This window comes from Homo sapiens, chromosome 8, assembly GCF_000001405.40.
Source record: "Homo sapiens chromosome 8, GRCh38.p14 Primary Assembly".
In the NCBI taxonomy this organism is placed as follows: Eukaryota; Metazoa; Chordata; class Mammalia; order Primates; family Hominidae; genus Homo; species Homo sapiens.
In genome coordinates, this window is record NC_000008.11 from 64,353,141 (window position 1) to 64,365,148 (window position 12,008).

Sequence of the window (12,008 nt, forward strand, 5' to 3'; positions counted from 1 at the left end):
CTTGAGATTTACCTATTATTTCCTTCAATTATTATCCTATAATGAATTACCACTTAATGGGTGGTAAAAATAGAAGCTAGGAAGAACAAGTTAAGAACCTGACAAATTCCAGACATCCTTTTCATTCCTTTATAGCGTCTAATATAGTGTTTTTTTGAAGAGTAAGTAACTAATAAGAATTGACTTTTTTAAGTCATAAGTGTCTCTTTAGTAAGAATCTGTAAGTTAAAAATTAAATGCCTAAAATTTAGTCCATAAAAAATTACAGTAATATATATTTAACTTTTTCATTAATGAATTGTTTTCATGACTTTTAGCTTTCATAAATATTTAAGGCCCATATGGCATATATGTAATATGTGTTTCTGAATCAATACTATTGGAATTAATATATCAGCATACCACATGCTGACATTTCTATAGTTTCGGGTACTTACTGTGCCTGGCTTTTTCACCATAGGGCAGCTGTTAAAAAGCAATGGTATACCACCTAGAAATGTTCTGTATTATCTCTTAGATCACAGAAGAGAATTTGAAGGCTAAAGATTTATCTCTGGAAGCAACTGTCTCATTTAATTTTATATATATATATAATTATATAGATATATATTTAATTATATATATAATTATATAGATATCTAATTATAATTATATAGATATATATAATTATATATAAAATTTAATATACATTAAATTTATATTTCATATATATATATATATATATATATATATATATATATATATCCCAGATTATCTTCCCATACAATGTTGTCTTTTCTTGGTGAGGTGGATCTGGCAAAGGCCAGATCCCTGCTAAAAGCCAGGACAGCACAGTCTTTCTACAGAGACCTGAACAGAAACTGATAAAAGAAGTCCAAAGACAGGTAGAAGGAGTCACAGCCTCTTCCCAGGATCCTGGAATTGCTCCATGTCTACCTCCTATACCTCCCCCTATGCAGACACACACATTCACACACACCACATTTGACCCTCTCATCTACCAGAGACACACAGAGTTCTCTCCAACAATCACTGCAAAAGTTAGAGCTCCAAGAGTTTCCTCTATGCTTTGTCTGTAGACACAGATACTCATAACAAAATGCACTTCTACAACAAGGAAACCCATCGTTATAAACTTAAGTGTCACAGGAGCTGGGCAATTGCTTACATCAGATCATTTTAATGATAATTGAAGGAGATGATTGAGTATACAGTTTGAGTGCTTCTTCCTGGTTGGACAGATTACAGTTCTATTCCTAGAACTTTTCTGCAAAGGAACAAAGGTACAGAATTCTCATTCTTGTTCTTGGTACTTAATAATACTCTGCCTTAAACAAAGCTCATCCTTCAAGGTCTCTCAAATATTCCATCTTCAATGCAGTTTTCCTTAAAGCCATCAGAAAGAATTAATTATTCTGTGCTAATGTTACATAGCACATTACTTGTTATACCAAAACACAATTTCATATATGGTTTTGGTGTATTTCTATTCAAAGTTAGTCAAGATTCCTATTTTACTTCCAAAGTGCCTCCTATGTATATGTATGTATTATATATAATTCACTATACTATCTGTAATTTATCTGCTTACACATCTGTCTCTTTCCCTACCTTCCCTATCTCCCTTCTCAACGTGGTCTTTTTGAGAAAAGGACAGGGATTGCAGCCAATTTGTCTTGGAGTCTGCTATTTGGCCAGCAAGGCTTCCTGGAGATTAAATGTTGTCACTGCCAGTAGGTTGAAAAACCTGTCAATAGCACCTGACTTCCGCTAACTAGTCCTAGATCAAGCTTCAGTATTTATTGCCATTTCTCTGCTAGGGTCTTTGAAGAAAAATGCCTTATGGAGCAGAATCTATAACCACTTTGTAAGTATCACCCTTCATATCTCCTTAAGAATCTTGATTGACATATGTTCTCTGACTTGAGCCACACTCTACCAATCAAAGCAACCTGTGTATTTTGTTGCCTCTCTGTCTTGTTTCCTTGTTCCCTTGACTGCTCCACCAGGGTCAGTTTCCAAGCTTGGTTTTAGGATCTGCCCCCTATAATATGCTCTGTTTTGTTTACTGTCTTCTCCTATTTTATTAGTCAACCATGGGACTCAAGGGATCTTCAGTACACCCTCATTTCTTTCCTTTCAACTTCTATCTCTATTAATCTTACAAGCTTTTACAGCTTTAAGAGTCAATAACATTTTCACAATTTTATCCCATTTTATCCTCTCACTGGAGCACCTTCCCTCACCTCCAAGCAAACTTTCTATCTTCATTATAGCCTCACTCATACATTTATAATGTAAATTTGCATGTTAGAGAAAAAATATCTCACTGCTATTTGAAAACGTTTTAAAACACTTTAGATCCTACATTGACATTTCCACCATTCTACCTAAGGCCTTCTTGTGGTAGGAGCAGGGACTTTGGAGTCAAAGAAATCCAGCTGGAACACCAGTTTTATGATTTGGGTTATTTAACATTGCTACATCTTAATTTACTCCTCAGTAAAGTGGGAGCAAACACATCCAACTATTGAGTTGTTCTATAGGCTCAAGATTATATGATTATAAGCACTCAATAAATGGTAGCTATTTTTGGTAAAAAAAAAAAAAAAAGAGAGAGAGAGCAAATCTCTACCTCTTGGATAGGCTCATTCAGTATGTAGTAGCCATAGCAAATCCAACTGAAGAGACAATGACAGTCATTTTCATCATTATGGCTTCTAAATCCAACACCTTGTATATTATTAGATGAAATGTGATCTGCTTTATTATTCGCTTTTATAAAAACCATCCGCATATAAAGAGATGAGCAGGAACATTTTATAAAATATTAGGAAGTCTAGAATGAACTATTTTCTGGAACTATCTGCTTTTCCCATCCCTGCACATTGCTGTGTCTCTGCAGATAGCGGTCTTGCCATCACTTCTGCCCAGAGCAAAGATTTAACTACTCTATAAAGATTGCAGAGCCAAATAAAAGGCATTTCATTAATTCAGATAATAGATTAATTTCAGCACATCTCCACCATCCTGATGAGAGACTGAGCATGAAAAGATATCTACAAATCTACTGTAAGCTCAAAGTGCTTGCTCCCCAACTCTGGGCACAGAGAAAACACAATTGATTGTATAAATCAATAAAATGAACACTGTGAATCAATAAAATTAGAATGATGAAAAAAGGTCATATTCTGGTTCTCTAACTTTTTGTTTGATTCCACTATGTTCAAGAACTCACACTCAATAGTTCCCATCAGTAGCACTAAGGGGAAGATGACTGAAGAGATCCCCTACTGAAAGAAGGGCTTTGGCAATCTTAAATCTTATTGGGTATACTCCAAGACAAAGGATTTCCATAATATTACCCCATAAAGAGCACCTATTTGAAGTGATATATATATTGGAGACAGAGTCTCACACTGCTACCCAGGCTGGAGTGCAGTGGTGCAATCTCAGCTCACTGCATCCTCCGCCTCCCAGGTTCAAGCAATTCTCCTGCCTCAGCCTCCAGAGAAACTGGGATTACAGGCACGCACCACCATGCCCAGCTAATTTTTGTATTTTTAGTAGAGACAGGTTTTTTCCATGTTGGCCAGGCTGTTCTCAAACTCCTGACCTCAGGTGATCTGCCCACCTTGGCCTCCCAAAGTGCTGGGATTACAGGCATGAGCCACCATGCCTAGCCCAGAGTGTTTTATATTTTACACCTACTGCCTGCACACCTCTCATAAAACATTTATGATAGAACATAAACCTTGAACAGAGACTTTCAAAAACCCTCCCCCAGCAAGAATTTTTCATCCATTCATTTATTCACTCATTTATCAATATTCATTAAGCGGTTTCTCTGGGCCAGATACTAAACTAATTACATGGATATAGTAAAGAATAAGAAAGACATGTCCCTGCTCTTCAATAGGGGCAACAACATCACTTTGCACTAGAGGACTCACCTTGTGCTATGAGGTTAGAGGTCTCATAGATGAAATATCTGGGAAGTCCTCCTAATGTTTCCACTGAGGATATGAAGAATGAACAGAAGGTAATCATGCAAACAGGGAGTGTTAAGAGATTAAGCAAGAGATAAGCAGAAACCAGAGTTTTTTAAACTCATGTTAAGATGTTTAAACTTTACAATAGCTGGAAGATTTAGTGCGGGGTGGGGGATTTGATAAGAATATTGTTCTACTTTTCAATTGTCTATATTTTCTGATTTTATGGTCATAAACATGTATATTGATCTTACAATAAAAAGACAATAAGGTTTATATTTTAGTTTTAATTAAGAAAAGTAGGAGAGAGAAAGTAATAGCAGAAAAGGAAAGCTGAGCCAGAAGTAACAATGGTAATTTTTAAAAATATATATTATTATAAGCTTACTAGAGATAGACCAGAAATTTAGCTCTAAACTTACTAGAAACCAATTTAACAAGGGAAACTGCAATAGTTTCATAATATACAAAGTCTGTGAACAAGAAAGCCAGAGTGGCTGAATAGGATGAGTGGGTAAGAAAAGGAAGGAAAGCAACTGGAAGGGGTAGGTGGTAGGTAGATCATGTAAGGCTTCGAGTGTCATTGCAAGGACTCTGGATTTTATTCTGAGTGTGACAGAAACCTTTGTACATTTTTGAGCAGTGGAGTGATGTGATTTGATTTACATTTTAATAGCTCACTCTGTCAGCTCTGTAGAGGAGGAGCAGGAGAGTCAAGAGTAGAAATAAGGAGACCAATTTAAAGACTGTTGCAATAGATCAAGAGAGAAATGATGGTGGTTCCATCCAAGACAAATAGTGGTGAAAATAGAAAAAGGTGATCAGATTTAGGAAATTATTTGAAGGTAAAGCTGATAGGGTTTGCTGAAGGATGAATAGAGGGTGAGGAGAAAAAGCAATCAAGTGCATCTTTTGATGTTTTTCATGCTAAGCCATTATTCTGCAGTTCTGAGAAGGTTCTGCAGGACCTCCAAGGAGGTTCCTTCTCTTCCCACTCCTCCACTTATCTTCTCCTGGGTCATTCTAAGAATGTTTTCTCTACCTTACTTACTGCAGCCTTCTTGTACCAGGCTTAGGTTCAGCCCTGGAAACATTTTCTTTCTGGAGTAGGGGGTTAGCTGTGACTCTCAGGGTAACCTTGGTCTTAAGACTTTAGTTCCTCCTATCAGAAAGAAGGATCAGACCTTTGAGAAGTAGTCCTGAAACAGTTATCTCTGAGTCCTAGCCTGCTGTCACCTAGCCAAGTAAGTTGCCTATCAGAAATTCTGAGACAATAAATCAAGCCCTTTTCATAGATTATAATTATAGGGTTGGGGTTTATGAGAATTAAATAAGAAAATGGATTAGAAAAACAATTGTAATGAACTGTGATGCTCTTCATTGCAGCAGGGCATTAAATGCTACTAATAATGATAATAATGATGGTAATAGCTACTATTATGAGAGTACTTAATGCCAGGCACTACATGAGGTGCTTTACGTGTCATAATACTGAATGCTCAGAACAGCTCTATAACCTGGGAATTATCCCCATTGTATACAAAAGAAAATTAAGGTTACACTGGCTAAGATGTTCACTCAAACTCACACAACTAGTAGATAATGGAATCATCTTTAGAAGCTAGATTTTCTTGACTCTATTCTCTATGCTTGGAAATTCTAAATCTGTTTTTATCAACCTGGTTAGCTATATCCTGCTCTCAATATACCAGCTAGAGAAAGGTATGCACTGGCTTACAAGTTAACAAAGGCACAATGCTCTGAGATGCCATTAGGTTGGTGCAAAAGTAATTGCAGTTTTTGCCATTAAAAGTAATGCCACTACCCAGAATTCCATTACTGCAATTACTTTTGCAACAACCTAATAGAATTCTCCTAAGACAGAGCTACAGAACTTATTTAACAATATAGGATCGGTCCTTCATCACAGAGAATTATTCTTGGGCCAGAAGAAATGAAAGGTTGGAAATAAAAATTCTATCTAGCCTTTTTTTGTTGGCCAAGATGGCTACTACAGAAAGAAAAAGGAGTCTTTATGTTTCCTCTCTTGAAACCAGGAAATAGCTCAGGCTTCCCAAAGTCTTTATTCCTTCAGCAATCCTTAACAATGTGGCGTCACTGATATGATTCAAAGGTGTTATATTATGTGAAGCTCACAAACCAATAGAAGCGACATGCATAAAATATATTTGCTAAAAGAGGTATATATCAAAGTGCACAGATACCTAAAGAATGGGGCAGCTCCCTCTGTGTGGGAACTAGGTAGCAAAGAGGCAATACTCCCTGTAGGATGTCAAGGGGACCTATTGAGGAATTTTAAACACAATCAGCTTGAGGGTTAGGAAATCCACTCTGGCAGCAAGAAAAGAGAAAATATTAGAAAAGGATGAAAAGAAAGACCACTGAGGAGGCTATTACAACATTCCACAAGAGAGATAATAAATGTCTGAACTAAGACAATTATGCCAGGGACAGGGAGGACAAGATGCATTATTGAGGTATTTCATGGCAGAATTACAAAAAGAAAGAAAAGAAAAACTACTTCATGCCCATTTAAATATTCAGATAAGGGGAGGAACCATGGATGATGAGGAAGAAGATTCTCCCACGAACATGATCTTGCCCATAGCTTTTTAAGATACAATTTGTACATTCAGTGCATTAGCTTGAGGTTTGGGTGGATAGTTAACCCTGTTTTCTTCCAATGCAAACCTATTTGCATTTATTGAGTTTCTTCAAGTTACATCATAAGGGAGGCTCCAAACAAGGCCAGCAGAAAAGACTTCCTGAGAAGAATGGCCAATAATACCACAATGTCAAAACTCTCCAGGGGGATTTAGATGTGTTTCCTAGATGGTTGCTTAAGTGAGATATCATATGTAAACTGCAAATAGAGTGCCTGTCACATTAGAGGTACTCAATAAATTTTAACTATTTTAATATTAAGGTTCAGTCATCCACATTGATCACAGGATTTCTCTAGATGGCTAATTAATCATGAAGCATTTCAAGCAACATTTATTGAATATGTGCACAGCTCTCTGCAGGCAATACTCCCTGGCATGTAGTTCGCCCAGAGTTGACTCCTGCAGAAGCATTCGAAAACGGCAGGGTAAAACAATAGGGAGAGCGTGAGCCTGGAAATTTAGAGATTTGGGTTATAGTACTAGGGACACAAAATGTTAATCCAGTGCACTCTTCCTATAGTTGAGGAAACTGTCACTTTTCATTGCCTCACTCAATTTATCAGAGGTGAAGCCAGGCCTAGAAACAGGGGCTCCTGACTCCTGGCCCTGCACCTTTTCCATGATAGCACATACATGTGAGGCCCATCCGCTCTGGAAGGCCACACATGATCTAACTTACATTCTTGTGCAGATGACACTATCATGACAAATTAATTCCCAAAAACCTGAAACAATTCCTTAAATTTAGGTTAAGCAGATCATGCCGCTAATGCCTAGGCAGATGTTACCATGCCTTGAGGCACTGCATACAAACTAGAAACTGAAGACAAGCACTAGTTTGGATTTATGGTGATTAAGAGGTTTATTTTGCTAAATATATTTCTCTACATTTCTACCTAAAATGCAAAAGAAACTGTGTATATAAGCATGTTCACACACACACACACACACACACACACACACACACACACACATCTTAAGCCTCAGAGATGAAACCAGTAAAATTCAGTGTTTTCTATCAAAAGTTACATTCTGAGCTGAGTAGTTTAAAACCACTATTAAGCTCTCCAGGAAATGTATCTGTGACTCATCTGAGTCTGCTAGGTATGCATTTGAACAACCCAAACATTGGGATACATTATGTATTAACAGACAGCTTCCATATTGTAAGCATGTCTGTGTTTGTAGCCTTAAAACATGAATTAAGAAAACGGAATGCATCAGCAGGCTCAGACCCATTAATTAATCAGTATTCACTATCCTTTTGCAAGTAAGCAATTTTATCTCCATTTTGGGATTAAGAAACTAAGTCAAAGACGAAGAGCTATAATGGCTCACCAGAGGTTTGGCTTTTAATAAATCTCAGATTATTGGTCTCATATTTTGGTCACTAATATTACAGTACTTTTCTGAAAGATTTAAAATGAGTCTATGCCCTTATTGTTTCCTTTCTTTTGTTCTCCATATTAACACTATATCACACTGCTCCAAATCAGCCCTCAGTGCCTTATTTGGAACAGTGCTACAAACAGTAACTTATACCCAAAAACATAAGTTCCAAGGTTATTTGTGTTTTTGAAATAAATACTTAGTGTGCTCTCCAATGTTAATTCCCATCCAAAAATTGCTATATTAAATTTTAATATTCTCTTTCATTATTTACAAAATTATTTTAATCACCAACATACTGTACTTTTAAGTTTCAATTTTTTAACCCTAGATTACCTCTGAGTTTTTAGCTCAATAGAAGGAATATTTAGATTCCCTACAGTACGGTGATTAGTTTTCTAGAAATAGACATATATAAGTAACAGTCATTTAAAGATTTTAGTATAAGAATCTTAAATAAATATTTCAATGGAAATTATAAGAAGGAAAATAGAAACATTCATTTAATGTTTAGAACTAAATAGTAAATATAATTTTGAATTTAAATGTTTTCTAATCTAGCATTTATATTTTGATTTTTCTACTTTATATTATTTATCATTCTCAAGATGTTCTGCCAGTATTAATAAACTTTCACAATTTTCCTTTAAGTGAGGATTACTACTCTCATAAGAAAACTAAAACATAATTATATTCAATATACTAGATGTATACCCATATTTAGAAAACTTCATAGAATATGTTAGATGTTATTAACATGCTCTCATTTTTCCTTTCTTTGAGAATTAGCACTAAGTATCAAGCATTCAATAAGTAGAATATAGTGAGTTAAGAGCTTTAAAGAGTTAATTATGCTACTAAATGATGCTTAACCTCAGTAAAGAACTAGCTCAAGGCCTCGAAGTTTCAGACTCATGATTTAATTGGCTAGATTATGTGTTCGGAAGTGAAATAGGGTAGCAAAAAAGCTTTCTTAAAATAAATATTGAAAAACTGGAAAAAGAAGAAAAAATAATCATTACATCCCAAAATTAAATCTCTGAAAAGTAAAATTGCTACTGCCTTTGCCCAATTTCCCTGTTTCACAGTTTAATGTAACATAAAATTCCAATTCATGTGTATATATATATGCTTGGCTTCAAGCCCATGAGCTCATACACCCATGTCAATAAAAGGCAACCCAAGTCAATGTCCTGGTGAAGGCACTGCAGGCAAACTGAACAGTTTGAGCCAAAGAAGAGAGAGAGTTTTTGGATAGGAGTGTTTGAAAAAGCATAAGGCATCTGTCCAATGACAGAAGTAGAAAATAACTGTAGAGAGGAGAGTATGGAGAAAAATGAGTCTGGGAAGATACGTGGTGATTAAATACCTACTTCTGTCATGAGTGATTATGAGAAAAATAAATCATGTGAGATATTTCTGGTTGAAGAAAAAATACAGATTTTGGAGAAAAACTTATTTAAATTCTAGTCTTAATTCCAAAATGTGTTAGCTGTGTGACCCTGGCCAGGTTATATAACCCTTCAAAGCTTCAGCATTCTCATTTGTAAAATAAAGAAAAATTAATACCTATGTTAAAGGGCTGAGGTGAGAATATATGAAATAATGTGTCTGTGATAGAGCCTGGTAGAGCATTTCACATAGAGTACACCCAACCAAATGCCAGTTCTTTTTTCTTCCCGTCATCCCTTGGTCTTATTTAAAGATCAGTGAACACACCAGACAACTTTCCTTGCAACCCAGCAATTCTACTATCTCCCAGGCAATTCAGACTTTTTTTTCCCCCTAAACCCTTGATCCATCCATAGAAGTAAATTTTCAAACAAAAGGCATTGTAAAACTGCATGATTATTTGTCCTAATCAGTTTGACTTGTTTTAATGTTCTGAAAAGTCCTTGATAACCATTTTTAGAGTTATGTTTGCACTCCAACACTAAATTAGGGCCATTCTGTTATATCAACAACTATACTCACCATCATCTGTTCTACCTTTCTCTCTCTCTCTCCATACACACTCACACACACAAACACACACACACACACACACACACACACCACACACTAGAAGGGGATGAGGACATAACTAACGTAGAATTATCCAGAAAGAGCAACCCCATTGTCTATCTTCCAGACCCAGAACTTCTAAAATCAGGAGAGCTCTTCCTAAATCTTTGAGATTGTTGTTCCTGGGCAGTCCCAGAGATATGTCTCAGATCACTAACCCTTAGGTTACTCTAAGCCTACCCTAGAAGAAAATCACACCTACAATGTGGTCTTCTCCATGCCTCTGGCCAGATCGCCAAACTCCACAAAGTGAGTCTTATACTCAACAAGTACACTAGTCTTAAAAAAAAAAAAAAACTTCAAGCCCTCACCTGACTAGTTTTAAAGCATAACTTACAAAGCAAGCAAATCAATAGCAAAGTGCATCTGCCCATGGGGCTGATTCATTGCCACTGCAGTCTGAGAAGAGAAGGAAGAGAAGAGAAGGAGAAGAGAAGGAAAAAAGAGAAGAAAGAAGAAGAGAGAACGATGAGGAGGTACAGGAGGGAATGGGAAAGCTTGATCATGAAGCTTATATTCTTCACAGCTGGAATTATTAGGGTTGATGCTAGCAAACCCAGGATTGCACCAAAGCATGAAATTGGCATTACTCTACCACTTTGGAGAAACTGTGGTTCTGCTTCTAAGGGCAAGGGCTTTCACAAAGGCCCCAGGAACCTGTCATGTCAAGCTTAGCAGCCTTTCTGATCAGGCCCCACAGCCCAAATCTCAACTCTTCCCAGGTGGCGCTGGAATGACTTGCCCTGGCTGGGCTCTGTGGTGATGTACATGTACAAACAAATCTGTTTATCTTTAGGTCTCAGAAGACCAATAAATAACCTTGGGATAAAAAGTAGTTGAGATAGTATGGGGTCTCAGATGGTTGGTTTTACAAAAGCTGCCTTTCATAAGAAACTGGAGTATCCAGAAAAACTCTTAGGATATTCATAAACTTAAGTTATAAATAGTTATGAATAAGTTACTTAAACTTCAGTTAACTGTGGTCTTCAGAAAACTGGAATTTGATTAAAGCTAGCTGCAATGCAATGTAATTATATATTTTCATGGCTAAGTATTTTTTTTCTTTTCCCATAGCTAAGACCTTTTCCCCTCTAAAGTCTTTTTCTTACAAAATATGTTCAAGTGAACGTTGCTGTTTTTAGGGTTTTAATTTTAAATATGGTCTTCATGCATCTGCAATGTACGTGTAACTACTGGGAAATAAAACATCGTGCACATCCATAAAACATAACATTATGTTGCTGCAGACTAGCATGAACTCCAAAGTGCCAGTCCTGATGTGAAACCGGAGTCATTCTCCTGCCTCTTAATACCTTTTTCATCAGGTACAGAACAAATGATTTTTACCAGAGCTTAATTTTCATGGGATCTCTTAGGCACCTTGAGTGGAGAGGCAGAAGAATTATAGAGAAAGAAAAGCTTGGCAAATGAACCCTTTCCCGGCACAAGGAGACTGGTTCAATATTATGAGCATTTCCACCCAAACCCTACTTGATCCATAGACTCTATTGCCTAACGCCCTCCTCTCCAAAACCCCTGCTCCCATTGGTATTTCCCAAAAAGCAATAAAACACATAAGGAGCACTAGAAGAGTTCAAGGACATTGAGCTACATTTTAATCCATAAAAACACAGGAAAAAAATAAACAAAAATACCTTAATTCTTTGCCATAATCTCAACACAGCTAGTTCCTTGCAGTATTTCTAAACAGCTTCCTTAAGTGAAAGAGAAGCTTGTGTCAACCTAAAACACTCAATCACTAATTACCAAGATTAAAAATCCAAATACAGATGTGTTTTATTGTGTATATGTTATGTTTTAGGCATTTCTAAAACTTAACCTTCATTTAAAAAAAAAAACTACCACACTGGCAGTG

General features: G+C 36.4%; 2 long non-coding RNA genes across 2 annotated transcripts in view; one reads left to right on the forward strand and one right to left on the reverse strand.

Annotated features, from left to right (window-relative positions):
- The window catches only part of LINC01414 (long intergenic non-protein coding RNA 1414), a 511,616-nt gene that overhangs the window by 496,198 nt on the left and 3,410 nt on the right, over positions 1-12,008 (reverse strand). The window lies entirely within an intron of this gene.
- On the forward strand, positions 1,377-3,042 carry LOC105375877 (uncharacterized). Its single transcript, XR_928989.2, has 3 exons — positions 1,377-1,542; positions 1,821-1,867; positions 2,906-3,042. It is a non-coding gene; the product is annotated as an uncharacterized LOC105375877 (long non-coding RNA).